This window comes from Homo sapiens, chromosome 10, assembly GCF_000001405.40.
Source record: "Homo sapiens chromosome 10, GRCh38.p14 Primary Assembly".
Classification (NCBI taxonomy): domain Eukaryota; kingdom Metazoa; phylum Chordata; class Mammalia; order Primates; family Hominidae; genus Homo; species Homo sapiens.
The window spans coordinates 106700510-106723243 of NC_000010.11; the positions used below are offsets into that span (position 1 = coordinate 106700510).

Sequence of the window (22734 nt, forward strand, 5' to 3'; positions counted from 1 at the left end):
GTTTTCGGCATCACTTAGTGCTCTAATCTTTCCAGATGCACCATACTCTATTTTTGAAAAGCTTTAGGAAATCTGACAATCTTCCTGTTAACAATTCCAGTGCGGGGAAATTCCACCTAACTACTAACCTAAATTTCTTATTGTCATATATGCCCATGTTCTCAATCAAGCAGCATTTCAGCTCTGACTCTCCTCTAGACGTGTAGGAACAAGACTCCCTATCCTCTTTACCGTTTATCACAGTAAACTCGTGATCCCAGAGGGAGAAGTCCATATCCAAAGGGCTTTATATTCCTCACCTCTACTCAGGTTCCATATGACATACTCAAGTTTGGTAACATTTTTGTAGAAAGAACCCCAAGTGGATAGGTCAAAAAATGAATCCTGCCCATTAATTTAATGTGTGCTTCTATCTGTTGAATGTCTATTTACATTTCTCCTGGTAATTATTGCTCTCTCTAGGTATCTGCAGGGGGATTGGTTCCACAATTGCCCTCAGATACCAAAATCCACAGAAGCTCAAGTTCCTTATATAAAGTGGTGTAATATTTGCATGTAACCTATGCACATCCTCCTGTACACTTCAGATCATCTCTGGATTACTTACAATACCTAATACAATGTAAAGGCTATGTAAATAGTTGTATCATTTATTTAATTTGTATTACTTTGTATTTTTTTTAATATTTTCAATCTGATGCAGAACCTGAGGAGACACAGGTCCAAGTGTATGGATTGATGTTTTTTGAAAAACAGCCTCATCCCTCTCAGATATATTTCTATATTAAATCTAAACTTTTTCCTACTTTCTTCTACCAGCAGCACAAGAAATGAGCTTTTAGAACCGGCTTTCAGAATATTCCATTTCTCTGGCAACAGCAACTGAATAGGTGATGGGCAGGTGGCCCACATAAGGTCAATATGACATGTTTCTGGAATGACTGCGGAGTTATTAGGGAGAGACAAAATTAGTATCTCACTATTGGTTTTTAAGCAGTAAGAATAAAAAAGAAAACTCCAGATCTGCTGGAGATATATCTTGGAGGTAAAGGATGAAACCAATCCTGATGAAAACAGGCTCAGCGGATGGAGAGAGATGGCCCAATCCTGTGACATTTTTTTGGTCCCTAAATGTGGACATTTAAGAAGCTCATCCCACCGCCAGACTTTTCAGTTAAAGAAGACAGTCTAGTAAAGTGGCTGAAGAATGGACTTTGGAGTAAAACTAGTTGAGTTCAAATCTTGGCTCTATAACTTAGCCATGTGAATGAAACTCTGTGTCTCATAATTTCAATCTACAAAATAGAGACAAGGATAATAGGTCCCCCATGGAGTGGTGAGGATGAAATCAGTTAATCAGTGTTAAGCACTCCTAATAGTGCCTGGCACTTAGCATATGCTCTAGGTATGTTAGCTACTCTCAGTTAAGTGAGCCCTTACATCCCTTTTGTTGATTAATCTAGGTTCATGTGACCTTTCTGTTTATCGCAAATACTCAAGTCCTAACTATATACACGATAAGAAAGTGGTTCACCCAAGTGTTTTTGTTGTTATTGTTTAAAATAAAATTTAAAATTCTTTGAACCAGGAGAAGCTATACCCAAGTGTTTGGTTTCTTTCTAATGGAGAGACTTGTCTGTGGAAATTAGCTCCAGAGCTGTTCCTGCCTTGACAACCAAACCTCCCATGGCTCCCCATCCTATAGGGTAAAGACCTAAATCCTTACCTTGGCCTTGAGAAACATCAAACAACTATTCCCAATTCATCTTCCCTTCTTTGTCAGTAAGATGCAGCATCATCCCTGAAGCCAAGTTAAAATATCTCAACAATAACCTGACCCCCGCATAGCTAATTCCCACTTCTGTGATTTACAATGAATCTCTGCACTGGTGAACCTCTGAGTTTCTCACAATAGACATTTGATTAAATAATCCTAGGCTGGAAGAGTAAAGTGCATCACCTATACCGGCCACTTCTCCCAAGACTTTATTTTGTAGATTTGGATAGGAAAACACAGATGTATCAAATATTGTGGTCTAGGTCACTTAGAGAACTAATCACACAATGATAACAGATTAAAATGGCCATCTCTAGATATGAGCTGAGTTCCAATCCTTCCTTTGTTTCATGTAATTATGTTGTACAGCCATTTTCAAATGATATTGGTCTTAAATAGTTTAATTGAAAAGTTTAAAATATTTATATATTATCCTTCTTTTTTCTCCTTCCCTAAATCCTGTTTCTATTGGGAGAAATGCGCTTTTTCTCCCAATGTGGCACTTTATGTTGAATGCTTTAACCGAATCACAGAATTTGAGAGCAAGGTGTGATCTTACAGATTTTGTATTGAAGCATTTTCTAAAGTCTGCTCCATAGGACGACAATGTTGTTAGGATTTTAGTAGACTTGAAAAGGAGGAAGGGATCCTTTGGTAAAACATATTAATTAATGGTGAATTAAAGAGCTTTCTTGCTTATTGGATGTTCTAAACCTTCAACACACCAGTGAGCTACTGTTACTCTCTAGGCAAGAAACACAGAATGAAGTTTATTCCTTTTTTCAGACATATTTGACCACACAACCAAATTCTCAGGAAGGATTACTAAGGACATTTTATTCTAAGTAACACATATGAGAAAATATTGTTGTGAATCTAAGCTCCTTATTTAAAAAAAAAAAAAATAAAGAAAAGAGACATTGACAAACCAGCCCAAGGTTTCAAAGCAAGTTAGTGACAGATCTGGGTCCCTAATCCAGGTCTCCTGCTGCAAATCAAGCAGCCTTCACATCACCTGCATCCTGGTCCACATCGATCTTCCACCACGGAGACAACTAGATCCATACTAATAATAATATTACCTTGCTTTTATAGAGTATCTGTCCTCCAAAATGCTCAAAGCACTTTCGTATGTATTGCCTCATTTATCTCACTTGAGTAGCTCAGAATGGGTTCCCAGCAAGTTAAAAGAAGGAAAACTCATTACTTTCCCCTGTCTGGAGGGCCACATGCTCTTAATGGCAATGGCAATATTAAAATCTCCCTACCCACTGTCATTCTTTACTATTAGTAAATATTTTTTTGAGCACAGCTCAGGGTGACTATGATCTTTCAGGAGTTGATACAATGGTAGTGGGTGATTAAAGAAAATTGAGCATAAAAGTGCTGGTTTGTCTCAATTCCTTTGGTCGGCATGAAGCTTTGTTCATTTCCAGTTGCACCAGCCCTGACAGGCCATGAAATATATGCACCTTTGTTGCAGATCATTCCACCCAAGCTGGGGTTTCTTTTTGAAGGTATAATGGGATTGTAATAAAGAATCTCATTGCCTTAAATAATAAACATCCACCCGGACTAAATAATACATTCATCTGCTGTACTAGCCCCTATTTTTTCTGGGAACAAGCTAAATTAATCACTGCATTCTACCCTCAGAACCCAGATAAGACTGAGTAATGGAACATGCTCTTCTGGGAGAACAGGAGGAAGAAGACAGATGCAAATTTGGGTTCAAAGTAAAACTTTTTCCTTCCATATTGGCTAGATGCCACTGCGGGCAACTGTCAGCAGTGATCTGTGTGATGGCTATGAACAAGCAATGCAAAGTATCTGTTTCCCAAACCTCCAGCAATGAGTCTACAAACATTTCTTTGATTTTAAACTATGATTTCTGGGGCTCCTTAAGTCAATGGGATTTTCTTCTTAATGCCCCTGACAGTATATGGAATTTTGATGGGGTGATGATGCTATGTTTTAATAACAGAAGCTATTAATTTACTAAGAAAGTATAATATAAAAAAGTACTACCTTGAGAGTCAGGAGACTTGAGTTCTAGCCTCAATTATGCTACAAATAGCATTTGATTTCCACCAAAACTTATGTCACTTAACGAGTTTATTACCGGCCAGGCTCAGTGGCTCACACCTGTAATCCCACCACTTTGGGAGGCCAAGGCAGGCGGATCACGAGGTCAGGAGTTCAAGACCAGCCTGACCAATATGGTGAAAGTCTGTCTCCGCTAAAAATACAAAAATTAGCCAGGCTTGGTGGCACGCTCCTGTAGTCCCAGCTACTCGGGAGGCTGAGGCAGGAGAATCGCTTGAACCCGGGAGGTGGAGGTTGCAGTGAGCCAAGACTGCGCCACTGCACTCCAGCCTGGGTGACAGAGCGAGATTGTGTCTCAAAAACAAAACAAAACAAAAACAAAAACAAAAACAAAAAACAGTTTATTCCCAAGAGTGCGCATAAGATGAGGATATGGTCTCCATTTCCACATCCCCCTTGAACAACAGCAGCATGTCATTACATTGAGGATAATTCTTTTTTTAAGGTGCAAATCCTGCAAGTCAACTACTTCATTTATTAGTCAATCAAAGAAACAACAATTTATTTCAATGCTCAAGAGGAAAAAAACAAAACAAAACCTGGCTCTGTTGTATTTATTGAGTTAACATGTTCATTTCTCTGACAGACCTTCCTAAGAGATTATCAGAGGTAATTTGAACAACACTCAGTTTTCCTTTTACATAGTGATGTTATCCAATTCTCATCTAAGGCACAACTTAAGTGTTGTAAATTCTTGTCTTACTGGAGAAAAAAAAAACAAACACTTAAGCCAAATCAAGAACAACAAGAACTTAAATGTATCCATACACAGACATACATACAGTTCTGGATAATTACCACAGTCATTAATCTCTCAGCAGCTGAAAATAACAACCACGAACATAGCTATAGTTCTTTCAAGTTAATAGTGCAACTCAGTGTGTGTTATTACCTCTAATGGGCTGAGGCTTACATCCCACCTTTCACTACGTTAGGGTGAGGGAAGGGTGGTAGCCAAGAAAGAGAATTCATCCTGGAGAAACCAGAACAATCTGTTACCACTGGCTCTCCCGGGAGAGGAGGCGTGCTGTGTCCTTGTGTTATGTCTATTATATGACTTCCTGGGCAGCTATCTGGTGTTGGTTCAAGACAACATACGACAAAGTGATGGATGAAAATATAAGAGAAAGAGGCATGGCAACTCAATTAAAAAAAGTTAGGTATGTTCTTTGTGCAACCCAAAGGCTTCAAAGTTGAGCTATAACTCTCTTTAAACCTGCATAGTCCCTTTCTTATAGCCACATGCATCTCCCTTGCTCTAAGATTAAGGCACAGTACATTTACAGTTCCTAGTCACTTCAAATACATCACGATGGCAGCAAGATCGCAAATACACAGCTCTGAGCTCCCGAGTCAGTTTGACCTCCACTAGGTGGCGCTCCATATTAACGCAGTTCTTCAGCACTTCTGGAAAGACAGCCTGGGGATGTCAACAGTTGAGGGTCTTTAACTTTTGTTTGCCTCTGTTTTCCAAAGGATATGCCTTTGGGGAAGTCTAAAAAATTAGCTGCGACTCAGAACTCTAAAGACAACCAGTCTCATAAGTTTACAGGGAGCTGACTGGCTGAGAAAGCAAAGGCTGGTGCCACGTCACGGCATCACTGCTCAGTAAACAACTGATAATCAAATGGGACAGAAATGGACGGCAGCTGTTGCACTGATACATAACACATCCAAAAAATATTTTCTGTCTTGTTAGAAAACCAATACATATGGCTTGAAAATCTTTACTATTGAAAAGCAAATCAATTATTAAAATTCATATGAATGTTCCTATAGCAACAATCTCAGAGACAGAGAAGAAAGAAAGAAAGAAAAAAGAAAGAAAGAGAAAAAGAGAAAGTAAGATGAAAGAAAGAAAAAGAGAAAGAGAAAAAAAGAAAGTAAGATGAAGGAGAAAGAGAAAGAAAGAAAGAAGGAAAGAAAGAAAGGAAGAGAGAGAGAGAAAGGAAGGGAGGGAGGGAGGAAACAAGAGGAGGGTAATAGGACTGACCAAAGAGACAGTAAGGCAGAGCAAACTTGGGAAACAGAGATGAGAGATGTAAAGAAAACATGACTATGAGAGGCTGAAAGAGTCCTTGGGAAAGGGATGGAGGCTGGCTTCTGTGAATGAGAGTCAAGAGTGAAATGAAGAAAGTGATTTAGGCCATACCTTGGGCAAAGCATATTTCGGAAGCTTCATTTGGGCAAATGCATTCCTTCGGTAGGACACGTAGTAATGTGGCCGCCCTCCTGATGTCAGCTGGATCATAAAAACAAGACTGTAAGAAGCTCGAGCTACTGTAACAGGCACAGGTCACAGAACAGTCACCTGAATGGAAGGAGGAAGCTTCCAACACAACAAATGGCATTAATGTCTATTGCGGACAAGTGTAAAGAATTGGCCTTCAGTTCAAACACAACTTATAAAGACATATGAGCTGGTCAGCGGCCCAAACTGAACCTACTGGACAAAAATACAATTCTTAAGTTTGCACTGTGACTCAGATGCCAGAAAACATTTTGAGTTATTTTTTTCAAATGGGGTACATTGGCTGATTGCCATCACCAGCCCAGGTCTCTAGACCCAAGTCTATGACCCTACAAGTAGGTCCCTGTGCCATATCAGAATGAAATGGCCCAACCCAAACAGTGGCAGAGCTGGAGGCTCACATCTCTGGGCACTGAATTCCAGTTTGATGGTGTTACACTGATGATTATGGGCACATGGCACAGACAGGAGTGCTGGCATATTAGATGGAAAACCAGGCTAGGATTGGTGTCCAAATTCAATCTAGGTCTCTTCTATTTAATTTAATTTTTTTTTTTTTTTTGAGATGAAGTTTCACTGCTGTTACCCAGGCTGGAGTACAATGGCACTATCTCGGCTCACTGCAACCTCCGCCTCCCAGGTTCAAGTGATTCTCCTGCCTTAGCCTCCAGAGTATCTAGGATTACAAGCCCTTGCCACCACACCTGGCTATGTTTTGTATTCTTTTAGTAGAGATGGTGGGGGGGAGGGTTTCACCATGTTGCCCAAGCTGGTCTCGAACTCCTGACCTCAGGTGATCTGCCCGCCTCGGCCTCCCAAAATGCTGGGATTACAGGCATGACCCACTGTGCCCAGCCTTTTTGAAAAAATTTTTAAAGCTAAATCTCACTCTATTGCCCAGGGCTAGAGTGCAGTGGCACAATCATAGCTCATGCACCCTTCAACTCCTGGGCTCAAGTGATCCTCCCCAGGAGCTGAGACTACAAGCAGGTGCCACCACAGCCAGTTCCCCTCCAATCTTGTCCAAAGCATGCAGCCCAAAGAATCCTGGTGGGTGTGAGAGAGGGCAGGAAGGTACAGAGGGCAGGTAGAGAGGGCAGGTGTGGTCTCCAGCCAGCACATGAGCAACCTGCAGGCACAGTGTCAAGGGCACCACCACGTCTCTCTCTCTCTCTCCTACACAGCCACTCTTAACCCCTCTAAATGCCTGGAGTTTCAATGACAGCTGGAGTCTGCATACTCAGAATGTCAACAAATGCGCATGTTCATCACATTAGGAATGTGACTTGGAAAGTTATCATCTTCACCGTCATGTGGCCAGATGACCTCTTAGGTCTAGTGAGGGGTTACAGGATGTTCATGGTGGCATGGGTAAAGACTGTGTGAAATTCCAAATGCAGAATTGATTCTCATTTGTAAGTCATAGATGTGGATCACAAAGTGTTATTAGAAACCAGAAAAGGTTCCTGGGAGCAGCACTGATACAGAAATGAATTATTATAGACAGAACCAATACATGTAACTATTCGAATGTCCATTGACAACTTGATGCTGAAATTGTCAGAGTATTAATTACTAATTTCCCTGAAGAATAAAGAAATGGTGTGTGTGTGTGTGTGTGTGTGTATGTGTGTGATCATATGTGAAACATTTTATAAGTACACAGGGTGGTAGGCATTTAAACAAATTGCATCCTCAAAGCATGTAATTAAATATTCCAAATCACAATTTCTTGTCGAAATAAATGTAATACTGTCTAGAATGGGTCTTTATATATATATATGTATACTTTTATATATACGTATAAGCTATTTAGTAATTGTACCTTTGTCATTTTTAACATGGAAGGTGGTAACTGAGTTTTAAAATGCATTGTCCAAACAAGCTTAAATTTTTCCTTGAATGCTGAAAAGCAGTGCAGCGTATTTGCTTCTTGTCTCTACTAACAACTCAGGAAACGTCAGCTTCTTAAACTGTTCTCCACTCTCTTGGGGGTGAAAAACCTGGCTGAATACATCTGCTCTGAAGTGTCTTTATTCTAATCACAGTTGGTGCATGACAATAAAAGCTGATTACTCTCCCCCTGGCCTCTGCCTCCCACTATCTCCAGCCACCCCACAGCTTCCCTTCCCATTCCTGCTTCTCCACTTTTAAGGTGGGTATTGGGGAGGGGGCTGATTGGCTGACCCTTTCCCAGATAGAAAGAGACTGACATATTTGTTCAGTCCCTTTGATAACTGGGAGCTTCTTTGGAATGCAGGTGTGGGGGACAGATCGTACTGTGCATCATCCTAGAGACAATCTCACTACTCTGTGCGATGCCTTCATGACCCCATGTTGATAAGATCCTCTGGACACAGCCCAAAGAAATTCATGACTAGTCTGTTAGTATAGAAGATTCCACACTCACTAATTATCCTTTTATTGAAAAGATAGTGATTTTCCCCTCTCTCCCTACCTCCTTCCCTCCCTCCCATCCTCTCTTTTTGACTCTTAATGGAGTGTAAAGCAGGCAAAAGGGACAGAAACAAGGAAAAGAAAGGTTTCTGAGACAATCAACAGAAGTGGATTTTTCCTACCTGAACAAACACATAATGATCCTGAACAATCAAAGAGTCTGGGTCAATGTAGCCTGGAAAAGGCTGATTCCTGTTGGCCTCTGTACAGTTCTGCATTCGGCAAGTTAGATAATGTGAATCTGAAAAACAAAAACAAAAACAAAAACATGGGGTTGAGGGGGATATACAGACAGAGATTTACAGTCAGGGTGGACGTTTGATATTTCCCTTACCATTTCCAATTTTTTTTTTTTTTTTTTTTTTTGAGATGGAGTCTCGCTCTGTCGCCCAGGCTGGAGTGCAGTGGTGCGATCTCGGCTCACTGCAAGCTCCGCCTCCCGGGTTCACGCCATTCTCCTGCCTCAGCCTCCTGAGTAGCCGGGACTACAGGCATCCACCACAATGCCCGGCTAATTTTTTGTATTTTTAGTAGAGACGGGGTTTCACCGTGTTAGCCAGGATGGTCTCGATCTCCTGACCTCATGATCTGCCTGCCCTGGCCTCCCAAAGTGCTGGGATTACAGGCGTGAGCCACCGCGCCCAGCCACCATTTCCAGTTCTTTAAACAAGCCTCACAGTCTTTGTTAAATACGTTATTGTCATTGTTATTATTATTTAAATTATTATCATTATTATTTTACTCACTTGCTCTCAATACCACCTACATCATCTCCTGGTGCTTCCACCAAGTCTTGATATCCTAGAATACTAAATTCTTGCTAATTATTTTTTTCCCTCCCAAACCCAAATGAAAATATTTTCAAAAACTGGCAATAATACTTGGGATTTCATGGTCAATTTTTTCTCATTAGTAGGTTTCACCTTCACACTTTGATCTTTGACAAAGAGGAAAACACACATACATCTAATCATTCATCATCTAATGATAAAAATGATGTGGTTATAAGATTCTAGGTTAAGTAAGATAAGGGTTTTTCTTTCATAATTCATTAGAAGTAAAACAGAGCCGGGAGCTGTGGCTCATGCCTGTAATCCCAGCACTTTGGGAGGCCAAAGCAGGTGGATCACGAGGTCTGGAGTTCACAACCAGCCTGGCCAAGATGGTGAAACCCCGTCTCTACTAAAAATACAAAAATGAGCTGGGCGCAGTGGCAGGCACGTAAAATCACAGCTACTCAGGAGGCTGAGGCAACAGAATCACTTGAACCCAGCGGGGCGGAGGTTGCAGTGGGCCAAGATCACGCCACTGCACTCCAACCTGGGTGACAGGAAAAAAAAAAAAAAAAAGCAAAACCGAATTGGGAGGAGTTCCTTGAGTTAAGACTTTGCTTTTACTTTACAATTGAATCAGTTGAGACCCTGGATCTCACCTGGTGATAAATACAACATCAGTAATGACAACTCTTACGTCAGTTTGGTCGCTATTGCTGGAAATACATTTTATCAGGGAGGCTATTCCTGTTTTTTGAGCACACTATCCTGGCCTCTATCTAATCAGATTATGTTACTCCCTTACTTAAAACTCCTTTTGCCTCATTGTATTGAGAATAAATTCAAACTCTCCACCACCCACCATGCCAACCCTCCAACCTCCCCCACTTCTCACCATGCTAATCTCTTCTACTCTCTCTGTGATTCTTCTAATCCACCCTACTTTATGTTCAGGAAGTTGGCCAAACTTTCTACCACTTTAAAGACTCTTCATTTGCATTCCCTCTGCCTAAAATGCTTCTCCCCAGGCTGTTCTCAAAGCACGTTCTAGATTTCAGCTAGCTCACTGTTACATCTGAGGATCTTCCATAGTTATTCTTTATCACACACCATCCTATTAATTCTTTCTATGGAATTTATCACAATATAAAATTACCTTGTTATTTCTTTCTTACTGAGCCGTGCTCCCATTAGAATGTAATCTCTATAAAGACAAATGCCTTTTTTGTTTTTGTTGTTGTTGCTGTTATTCACTGTTGTGTCCACCAGATCCTAATACTGTTCCTGGCACACAGTAGGCAATAAATGAATATTTGTTGGAACATGCCACTTATTGAAATATATCCTTTTGAGTATAAAAAAGGAGTTATTTTACTTGTTTTTGATGCTTAATGAGTAGGTGGGTTTGATTTTAAGATATCAGAGACTTATGCAGAATTCTATTTTTCCAAATGAAAATATCAGAAGATGATTATTTACAGGAAATAGAGGTGGGGAATAGTATGTAGAGATAGATAAGCTAGATATAAGGATTCACTAAAGATTTCTCTTAAGAAAACTAGGAAGGCGGAATTGTCCAGGACCACCTTTACTTAAGGAACTTATGTGTACCTACCTGTATTCTGCAGAGTGCCACTAGGGGGCGGCATGCACTCTTGCTCCCTCTGACCAATGACTGATGGGGTTTCTGATAACCTCTCAGTAGACAATGGTGGAGAGCCTTACACACCATCTTCCTTCACCCCACTGCCATTTCCGAAGATGGGGATAGCTCTCAAGTGCTTTAACCTGTCTAGTCCTGGTGAAGCCACCTCCAAAATTAAATTAGAGTCCTCTATTCTTCCTTCCTCATCTCCTTTTTCAGGCATTCCTGTAATTTCACGTTAGAGCAGAACACAGGATCTTTTTCCTTAAAGACAGTTTCTGGGACTATCCCTTCCCAGAACGATCCTCCGTCTAGCACACAAAATCTTTACCTCACAATTTTACACTCCACCAGACTGTTTTACAGCTTTTAAGTGACTTCTGTTTTCCAAAATGTAGCTTGGGGGTCATAGAAACAATGGAGATTTATGACGATAAGAACTGGGCTTGAATTCTGGTGTGGTTTATTTATTAGCTGTGTAGTTCATAAGAAATCCTTTCATCTTCCTGAGTCTTGCTGTTACTGCAATGCTAACCAATGTTCCATCTTGGTTTTTCTGTTCATGGTACTGAAAGCGAATCACTGAGACAATGAGTATTGCTAAGGAAGAAGACTTGAATCAGATGCCACAGCTGAGGAAATGGAAGATCAGTCTCAAATCTATCTCCCTGGCAAACTAAAATTAGGAGTTTATATAGCAGGGAAGAAATGTAACAATGTGTGGGAAAATAGGAATTAGGGGGTGTAAGGAAGAAGAGCTGGTCAACAGAAAGCAAGTTGTCAGTTAGGCAATCAGGATGAGTGAGGGGTCTGGTATCTCATTGTCTAGATGCAGTGATCTGGTAAGCTTAAGTTCCTTGATGATACCTGGGAGGCCTGATGGTTGGTTTCCTGAGAAAGGAACTTGGATAAGAACTCGGATAAAACAAATGTAACTTTCTCAAGTTTGAAGACTGGAAGGATCAATTTCTGTGTTTATTCAAAAGAAAGCATAAACATCATGTTCTATGGGACAACTGGGCCAATTTCACTGCCTCCTTCATCTATTAAAGGAGGATGCCAATATCAACTATCTTGTACTTTAGCTGTAAGAATTAAAATAACATATATGCTAAATGTTTTGAAACTCAAATTCATACAAATGTTAGTTGTTATGATTAAGAATGATAATATTTCTGTTTTCTGTTTTGCCACCTTTCATAATGATGAGAAATTTTGGGAACACACTTAAAAAGACTAGTTAAGCCAAATTTAAATATTCCAGTTATATTTCTGAATCAGGTTCTTTGGCGAGCTACTGAACACCCATTGTTCTCTGGCTTTTTGCTGAAAAATCCAATATCGGATCTGTCAGCTCATCTTTTCTCCATGTGACTCAGAAGTTCCCATATGCAAGGAGGAATGTTGTCACTCTAAACCTACTCAAGCCTTCCTTCTCCACTTGCCATTGGTTGTTTTAGAAGAGGGTATTTAAACCTAGTACTGGTACATGAGAAGTGAGGAGAGAGCTTTTAAGGGGAATCTGAGAGATATCAGGAGATACAGCAGAAGATCTTCTGCCTCTGTAAACACTGTGTCTCAATGTGAATGGCTCTAGGTTTCTGGTTGCCCAAAGGAGCCAGTCTTACAGTCAAGCTTATATAACGAGTATGACAACTAGATGGAAAGTACCCATTTCCTAATGACATCATTGAGCTGTTGATGGTACTGAGCCTCAAGCTGCCCCAACCTCTGTGCTTCTTGTTATGTGAGATAATGAACAAAAACAATGGCTAAACACAATGAGAGTTTGATTAGGAGGTCTTGACCTTCAAATTACAAATACAATTTCCAACTAGAATTTTTAAGACTGACACCTAATGAGGACTTGATGCATACACAATTCTTGTTTTATTTGTATTAGTGTCTGATGGCTCTTTTCTTTTCCTTAAGACCCTGTACAAACATAAGATGGAAAATAATAACATACCCTTTTCATGTTTCTAATTCACCTATATAGAAATTATTAATCTAAGGAATTTAGGGAGAAAACAAAGATGGAATTTAACATTTGTTGTTCATCTGTGAGCCAGGCAGTCTGAAGCATGTTCACATAGCTATAGCACGTTTAGTCTTCACAACACTGCAGAGTATACCAACTGACTTTGCAGATAAAGAGAATGAAGCTAAAAAATAGTGATGTGTAGAAACGGCAGTATGTGGTTGCAACGTGGTTAGACTGACTCCAACTTTGGTTTATTTCTAGTATACTGTGTTGCATGAAAAATCCCAGTAAGTTTGGGGCCAATTTTTGTTAAGTATATTTTGGCTTCTATCTAAGGTTCAAACAGATACCCCAAGATACAAAATAAGAACACCTTAATATTTTTGTGTGGTAATTTGGCAATATGAATCAAGATACTTAAAAATGCAGGACCAGCCTGACCAACATAGTGAAACTCCATCTCTACTAAAAACACAATAATTAGCCAGGCATGGTGGCACGTGCCTGTAATCCCAGCTACTTGGCTGGGAGTCTGAGACAGCAGAATCACTTTAACTCAGGAGGTGGAGATTGCAGTAAGCTGGGATCACGGCACTGCACTCCAGCCTGGCAACAACAGTGAAACTCTGCCTCAAAAAAAAAAAAAAAAAAAAAAAAAAAAGATACCCTTTGACCTAGGGTTTATTTCTGAGAATTCTATCTAAGGAAAAAAATCAAGGATCAATGCAAAGATTCAACAACAAAGATATTTATCAGTGTTATTTATAATAAAAAATTTTGGAGAAAACATAATGGCCAACAATAGAAAAAGAACTTAATAAACTATGGAACATTTAGAGTTTGCTATTAAAATCTTGCTTTTATGAGGAAATGCTTAATATATTTTATATTATAGAAGTAGGTTACCAATTAGTAATATTATTCCAATGTTAATTTCCTAGTTTTGAAAAATATACCATGGTTACATAAAATGTTAACATTAGAGGAAGCTGGGTATAAAGTACATGTATTCTGTACTATCTTGGGTGACTTTTCTGTGTATCTAAAATTATTCCAAAATAAAAGTTTTTAAAAAGTAGGTTACCAAAATACGTGCATTATGGACCTGAGTTTTTTTGCAAGTCGTATATATATCTATAAATGTATGTTTGCACAGGAAAAATAAATAAAAGATATATATGAGATGTCAACAACAGCGGAGAGCCACTAATGTGAAAGAGTTGGCAATCTTTACAACAAATCCCTAGTCCAGCCCTTCTACAGCCGGGCAAGTAGGGGAGCGGGGAGTCAAGATGGACTTGTGAGATCAACTGTCTCTAATCTCTCTGCTTGTTCTTTCTCTACTTCCCATGCCTCATATTGCTGTTGAGCTGTGCAATAAGCCTATCTTTGGTCTGAGAATTACCAAGTTTAAAATAGGGACACAAGAAAAGCCCCGGAAGAGGTCTTCAAACCACTTCTTGCTCTGAGTGGCTCAAAGTGAAATTTGCAAGCTGAAGGGGAAATGAACCATCTTGAACAGTCTGCCCGTGGTAAAGTGTTCCTGGTTTGTTCCCTTTCTCCTCCTAATGGAAAACAGAAAGAAACTGGCTGCACTTCATAATAAGGGACCAAGCACTCATCCCCCTTGGGGCTTGCTGTAATAGTATTAAGTATGATGAACTCTTTCCATATTCAATTCTGGTGAGTGTATGATGTGATTCCATAGGAAGTATCTTGTAATTTGGCATTAATTAATGTCAATTAATGCATGCAACTGCTAGACATTAGAATTAATTTCATTACTTTTCCTACACAGATGTTTTCCTTGCCATAGGTAATTAGGACACTGTGCTGTTCTTTTCAAGCATCTTCACTCTCTGCAACAGCTGCTGCTTAGAATAATGCAATCCCCATCCACCCAAAACCTGTGCTGTTCTAGAGAAGGGAAGCTGCTTTTAAAAAGGTAGGCTTTGAACAGAGGATCAGAGGTTTAAATGCAGGCTCAAGGCCTGCTAGCTTAGTAAATCACTCCACGTCTCCAAACGCTGATCTAGAAAATGGGAACAAACAATATCCATCTAGCCAGAAGTTATGACATTTGATGACCTTAGTCTTGAAATGTGTTGAGTCTAGCGCCAGATTAGACTGTACTCACATAATGATAGCTGTAGTTGGTATTTAAGTCCTCTCTCTGTAATCACCAATACTGCTCACTGTGTCTCAAGCTAACCACCTGTAAAGTGCTAAGGATATTTCTACCTGAGGCAGCTTCTTTCTTTTTCTTTTTTTTGAGGACAGAGTCTCACTCTGTCACCCAGGCTGGAGTACAGTGGCAGCGATCTCAGGTCACTGCAACCTCCCGAGTTCAAACAATTCTCCTGCCCCAGCCTCCCGAGTAGCTGGGACCACAGGCGCATGCCACCACGCCTGGCTAATTTTTGTATTTTTAGTAGAGACAGGGTTTCACCATGTCGGTCAGGCTGGTCTCGAACTCCTGACCTCGTGATTCGTCTGCCTCAGCCTCCCAAAGTGCTGTGATTACAGGAGTGAGCCACCACACCCGGCCACTTCTTTCTTTTTATATTCAATTTTTGTTTGGGTTAAAGATTTTTTAAGTACGTTTTTAAAAACACCATGAAAAAATATTCTCCTTATATAATAATTAATACAAATACAGATCTTCTGCATAGGCAGCAGACAGCACTGCCAAATAAGTAGGGCTACAAGGAGAATGTGGAAGTCATCTCTGCACCCAACACACAGGGCCAATCAGCAGGTGTGGCAGGTGTTCCGTCTTCCTGTTGGAGCTATCTTCTAGGTCCTAGTTCCATCTCCAGCATGGCGTGTGACTCTGAGAAGGTCATCAACCAAGCTCAGTTTTAGACTATTTCTTTACATAATGAGAGTTATTAGAAGCTTAGAAACAAAACGGATGTTAAAAATCAGACTATGACTTTAAGATCCAACAAATCTTTACCATAAATTATCCACTGAAACCTGTTTCCTTCCCACTGCTGCCAAAACAAAACAAAGCTCTGTGATGTTGCTGGCAAGTCTGTGTCTTGAGGGCTTCTGCTATTTCTAAACAGCATGCTTAACTCCTGGCTGATTCCCTATGTTCATTCAGAGTTCTGCTGGCTTGAACAGCCTTTTCCTTTCCTGTTACTCAGTCCAAATACTTCCTGGACCTTCTTCTGTGAACTTTTTCCTGGGGCTTAGACAAACCTTTCCATCCCCAGAATGTCTTCATTGATAACAGCAGCAGCAGCACTAACCTCCAAAATAACCAGAGCAACCTTTCCTCGGGGTCAGGAACTGTGCTAAGTGGATCACATGTTTTTTTCTCTCTTAAATTTTGCTTAAAATCCAGGCCGGGCTCGGTGATTCACACTTGTAATCCCCAAACTTTGGGATGCCGAGGCGGGTGGATCACTTGAGGTCAGGAGTTTGCGACCAGCCTGACCAACACAGCAAAAAAATATATTACAGGTCTCTGGGACTCTATCCATCCATTCTATCATTCAACAAGTGTTTATTTAGCACCAAATACTTTAATTTTCCCTAATATTGTAGACGTTTAATTATAAACAAAGCTAGAAACGATGCAGGCAAGCATAAGCACTTTGAAACTCACCTATTCCTCATTGTTTCCACTTGGAAACAATTTAAATCAGCAATTTAAGCAATCTGTTTAAAAGCAGAACAGATTTTAAAGCCCATACAAGCGCATATAACTTTTCCTTTTGTTCTACTGCTCTATTACTTATTTTGAAACTTCTGTATTAAATGTTCTCACTCATCACGCACGCACACACGTGTCAACACGCTGCTGTTCATATACACTTAATTCCTATCAGGATTCTAGTGCCCTCTGTCACATGTACCAGCTAGAAATTGAGAATGTCAAAAGTGAGATTCTAGTCTTGGTTCCAGAAAGTCTACACAGAGGACAAGATACTTCTGTGAAAATTATAGACTTACATCAAATGTTCTAGCTTGGCATGATGAGTGTGATTTAGCATTGCTTTCTTCTGTGAAATTTCTTGATTTGGGACCAGTGTAATTGACTAAATATTGTATTTTATTGTTGGCCTTCAGGCATTCAGGAGACCATGACTACTACAGGGAAAATTCTGGGATCATAAAATTTAGCCAAGCATGAAACTAAAAACTGGGAACATGAGAGAGAAAACAAAAGCACACTATTAGGTTGGTGCAAAAAGTAACTGCAGTAATTGCCAAAAACCGCAATTACCTTTGCACCAATCTAATAATATAAATACAGAAAGTTCACTGTCCAATTACAATGCAGCATGGTGAGCGCATTCTAGGATGAATGGAAGTGCTATGGGCTTGCCGGTGAAATATTTAATCCTCATACCTCTGCACAGATGTTTTACTCTGTGCTAGAAACTTTTCCTGTGACTCTGAATTTATTTCACTTTGTATCACACAGAGCTGTGGACTTGTTATTCTTTCATGGCCTATTTAGTCCTCTTTAGGCTAGAGACTATTTTACTATTCAGACTATGTTATAGAGTGAATTACTTTCGTCAGGGATGGGGACATGATGGAAAAGCTGAGGGAAAGCCTAGAAGGCTGCCTGGAATGATGACAAGGATAACTCATTATTCCAGAAAGAAGGAGCACTGGGCAGGAGCAGAGAGGCAAGAGAGAATGTGAGATGTGTTTGGGGAACACTGGCTGTGTGTTTTGCGAGAAAGTCCTACTGGAAACCCACACTAGAACCTAGTTTAGTTGGGTAAAGACAGAAAATCATATACAAAGTCACACTCAATCATGGAGAACTGAGAAGCACATCACATAACTTTCTGTGTCCGCAATTGGTTCCTTCTGGTGGGTTCTTGGTCTTGCTGACTTCATGAATGAAGCTGCAGACCCTCACGGTGAGTGTTACAGTTCTTAAAGATGGTGTGCCCGGAGTTTATTCCTTCAGATGTTCAGATGTGTCCAGAGTTTCTTCCTTCTGGTGGGTTCGTGGTCTTTCTGACTTCAGGAGTGAAGCCGCAAACCTTCGCGCTGTTACAGCTCATAAAGGTAATGCAGACCCAAAGAGTGAGCAGCAGCAAGATTTATTGCAAAGAGCAAAAGAACAAAGCTGCCACAGCATGGAAGGGAACCCGAGTGGGTTGCCACTGCTGGCTGGGGTGGCCAGCTTTTATTCCCTTATTTGGCCCTGCCCACGTCCTGCTGATTGGTCCATTTTACAGAGTGCTGATTGGTCCGTTTTTACAGAGTGCTGATTGGTGCACTTACAAACCTTTGGCTAGACACAGAGTGCTGACTGGTGTGTTTTTACAGAGTGCTGATTGGTGGATTTACAAACCTTTAGCTAGACACAGACCGCTGATGGGTGCGTTTTTACAGAGTGCTGATTGGTGCGTTTACAAACCTTTAGCTAGACACAGACCGCTGATGGGTGCGTTTTTACAGAGTGCTGATTGGTGCGTTTACAAACCTTTAGCTAGACACAAAGCACTGATTAGTGCGTTTACAAACCTTTAGCTAGACACAAAAGTTCTCCAAGTCCCCACCCAATCCAGAAGCCCACCCAGCTTCACCTCTCATGTCCAAATTAAGTTTACAAAGACAGTAGGGAGTAGGGGAAGGAGTTAAAGAGCGACAGAGACAGAGAGAGAAGGATAAAAAGTAGGAAGAAAAGAAGAAAGCAAGCAAGAATGAAAAGTGGAAAGTGGGGAGGAAGAAATGAAACCATTTAGCTCATGAAGGAGAAAGCATACAGTTTCCAGTTTCTTCTCCAGGTGTTTTATTTTTATTTTTGGAAGGGGGAGTGAGGGGAGAAGGTGTGCACATTTACTTAGATGTGTCTACACGCTATAAGATTAATTTCAGAACAGAGAGACACTGCCTCTAAGACATGTGGATATATTCAATGAACAGTTTCTTTCTTTCTTTTTTTTTTTTTTTGATGGAGTCTCGCTCTGTCGCCAGGCTGGAATGCAGTGGCACCATCTTGGCTCACTGCAACCTCCGTCTCCCAGGTTCAAGCGATTCTCCTGCCTCAGCCTCCCAAGTAGCTGGGACTATAGACAAGTAACACAGTGCCCAGCTACTTTTTGTATTTTTAGTAGAGACGGGGTTTCACCATGTTGGCCAGGATGGTCTCGATCTCTTGATGTTGTGATCCACCTGCCTCGGCCTTCCAAAGTGCTGGCGTTACAGGCATGAGCCACTGCGCCCGGCCTCAATGAATAACTTCTTGATTATTTTTATCACCCTCCATACCAGCTATCATACCTGAAACATAAGAGATGCTCAACAAAGAACAGTATGGCACAGTCCTTGTCTCAGATAATGGAATAAAGACAGATGACACGTTTGCCCGCCCCTCTCTCTATTCCAGCCACCTGGCCTTCTGTTATGCCTCAGCCATGCTAAGCATCCTCATATCCATATCCTTTGCATGTACTCTTCCATTTGTCTGGAATGCTCTTCCACCAGGCAGACACACAAGTCTCTCCCATATTTCCATACAGACTTGGCTTAAATACCAAATGCCACCTTATCCGAGATTTCTTCCTTGATGGCCCTCTTTCTCTGATCACTCTCTATTCTCCCTACTCTGTTTTTCTCACACATTTGTAGCTCCACTTCTCATACAAATACTTCATGCATTTTTTATAACATCTCCCCTAACTAGAAGGTAAACTTTATGAGAGCAGAGCCTTTGCATCAATTCCTAATCATCCCTCATTCATGCCTAGAAGAGCATCTGATGTGGCGTAGATGTCCAACAATATTTTTTGAATGAATGAATAATAGGTCCAGAGTGAAACAGACCTGGCTTTAAATCCTAACTCTGAAACAATGGAAAAAACACTTAATCTTTGTAAGCCCCACTTCCCCATCATTAAAATGAGGAAAATAAGAATAGTGTCTACCTCCAAGGATTGTTATAAGTAAGGCAGCTGAAAAGTATCTAGTGTGCTCACACCAGATAAATAATAGGAATATAATGCATGATCCTAGCATCACTGTCACTTGAGAATTTAGAGGACAAAGGAAGAAAATATGTGAGTAAATGCCGATGCTACTTTTTTTTTAAGTACGATGCTACTTTTTTTTTAAGCCGGAGCCAGAAACATTAGAAATTTTTCACTTGGGGATTACCACACCTGCATGTTATATGGAGTGCTGCTATTGTATTCTGAGGGATACCAAGGACCCAAAGCCTAGATCTTTGTCCTAAAGTTAAGGCCTGTGAGTGAAAAGTTTTCTGTGCACCTTTGTTCTCTCAGCCTCAGCATGGAAGATAAGGGCACAGAGCTTCATGCAGGTGGGTGGGCACCTGGGAAGCAGAGGAAGTGGCATATAATGGCTACAAAGAACCCAATTTGAAAGCTGCCCAGCTGAGCCTGTTGTTGTACTGTCACTATCAGGCTTTTCAATGCTGTGCTAGGAGGCCCGTGTTATCTTATTTCATGCTTTTCTGGGTGGTTGTTAGGGCTGTCTTCAGGCTACTAAATCAGAGAGGTCAAGTGGATATCACTAGTCATTGAAATCAAGAGCCTTTTGCAATACGAAATATGGGGTCAGAATAACACTGCTAGAAAAAAAAAAAGCATAGTACTAGATTCTGGCTATACTAGCTAAACCTTGATGCTTTATTTGGGGATAGAAGAGAGGTGAGAATGTGCATTTTCTCAGCATGTCAGGAAGTGGTAAGGATCTGTTAGAATCTGAAGCTGACCAGAAATGGAAACGTCTAACCTCTTCCAAGGTCTACCTTGGAAGTTATTAATAAATTGACTAAAAAAAAGATAAAGGAAGACTATGAAATGCGGGGTCTAATAATGGCAACTGTTGTGCTAGTGTTGGAACTTTGGCCAAAGTGGGGGTAGCAATCTGATATTTTTAAATGTGTGTATCAATGCCAAAGGTTTCATCTTTTCTATTCAAAAGATTTGATTTTTTAAAGTTCACTGAAGAAGAAATAAAGGTAGTGACGAAAAACAAATAAAAATTCTCAACCTCACTCCTAATTAAATAAATACAGATTAAAACAATAAGGATATGCCTTTTTAAAATTTGCTCTCAGATGGGTTATATTTGAAAAGTCTTTGATAATGTCCAAGATTGCTGAGGGCTTGCAAACACAGGCATTATGATACTGATAGACTATTTATTGTTGCAAATATTTCAGAAGGCAATCTGACAATGTTTACAAAAATTTGAAATGTATATAATCTCTGACCCAGGAATTTTCCTTCATAAATTCTCTTTCCGTAGTGTTTGCTGCTTACGCGAGCTTGAATGCGGACTAACCAAATAAATAATATGTGTGTATGTGTATATATTCGCATTGTTTGAAATAACCAGAGGTCTGTATATCTACAAAGGTCTCTATAATTTAGTAATTACTAAATATAGTTGACTTTATAATGGAGTTCTATGTATCAATTAACCATGAAGTTGCTAAATTTATATGTGCTGATATGAAAAGATTTTTAACTTATATTTGTATGCACAAACACTAAATTTGCCACAACAATTTTTCAACAAGAACATGCGTGTAAGTATACGTGTCTATACATATACATACTCATCTGTATAAGCCTAAACAATTTCTGGAGAAATATAGCAAATATATAAATACACACACACACACACACACACACACACATATATATATAACAATAAAAAGATAAGAGTTTATATATATATATACCTTTTTATTGTTATCATTGCTATTTTTGTTGGTATAAAAGTAATCTATATTCATAGTAAACACACTCTGTAGCTGAGATATTGAAGACTTTGAGAACTGAGATCTCTATTACCTCCCCAAAGCATTTCAGCAGCGCTTACCTTATCCAGATTTTGACATACTTACTGTTCAATACGGAAACTAGGTTGGAAAGCTGGTGGATAGGAAGTAGAAAATGAGATTTCCAGTTCTTACCCAAGACCAGAATTAGTGGGATGCATAGTTATATAAAGTTGTGAGTTTCTTTTATTTCTGCTTGTTAAAATGCTAGTTTGAGGTTCATTTCACAGAGTTCTCAGGCAGTCATTTTCACAGTTGGTTAAAGGGCCAAGGTTTGTTGTTCCCCGGTGAATGAGATTAGTCCTTGGGAAACTTGTTATGAGGTTACTTATTCATGAAAATAAACACTGGGACCAGTAATTGTCCCCTGTCCCCTGTTCCTGCTGGCACAGATCACCACCAGTACAGAAACATTCAGGTTGCGGGTTGGGCCTTTTATTTCAGAAGTAAAAGGGAGAAGCAATAATGGCCAAAGGTGGTACTGCAGGTTCTCTTACAGATGACCATAATATACAACTATATATCCATGTGTAATTGCCATGTGAAAAATTCTGATAAAAGTTATGTTATTTTCCTCCAAAATCAAATATGCATAAAATGTGGCACCCAGTTTCAGGGAGGTAGTAAGTCTCTTGCATTCATCTGTTAGTGCTCCAGGACTCCACAGACCCAGTGGTTAAAGATCCTTCTTTCAGTAGATATACCTAAACAGTGACACATTAATATATTTATTCAACAAATATTAAATGTTTCATCTGGGTGTGGTGGCTCATGCCTATCCCAGCACTTGGTCAAGGCAGGAGGATCGCTTGAGCCCAGGAGTTTAAGACCAGCCTGGGCAACATGGTGAGACCTTATCTCTACTAAAAACGTAAAATAAAATAAAAAAGAATGTTTTGGGCTCTAAGTTATCTTTTGGACATAGAACGGAGATTAAATAAGATACAACT

At 40.0% G+C, this 22734-nt stretch overlaps 1 protein-coding gene across 16 annotated transcripts in view, besides 1 other annotated feature; it reads right to left on the minus strand.

Annotated features, from left to right (window-relative positions):
* SORCS1 (sortilin related VPS10 domain containing receptor 1) overlaps positions 1–22734 on the minus strand; it is a 607476-nt gene that overhangs the window by 126847 nt on the left and 457895 nt on the right. For all 16 annotated transcript variants that reach the window (XM_017015617.1, XM_047424547.1, XM_017015615.3 and 13 more), the window contains exons 7-8: positions 8714–8832; positions 6036–6125 (exon numbers count right to left, since the gene is read on the minus strand). In XM_017015617.1, the coding sequence (XP_016871106.1) occupies positions 6036–6125; positions 8714–8832 (209 nt within the window). The remainder of the gene's footprint in view (positions 1–6035; positions 6126–8713; positions 8833–22734) is intronic.
* Positions 10918–11007: a silencer, noted in NCBI's record as "silent region_2800". NCBI's record gives its function as "represses an Ori minimal core promoter by ATAC-STARR-seq in GM12878 lymphoblastoid cells {active_cell/tissue: GM12878}" and the evidence as "EXISTENCE:reporter gene assay evidence [ECO:0000049][PMID:35858748]".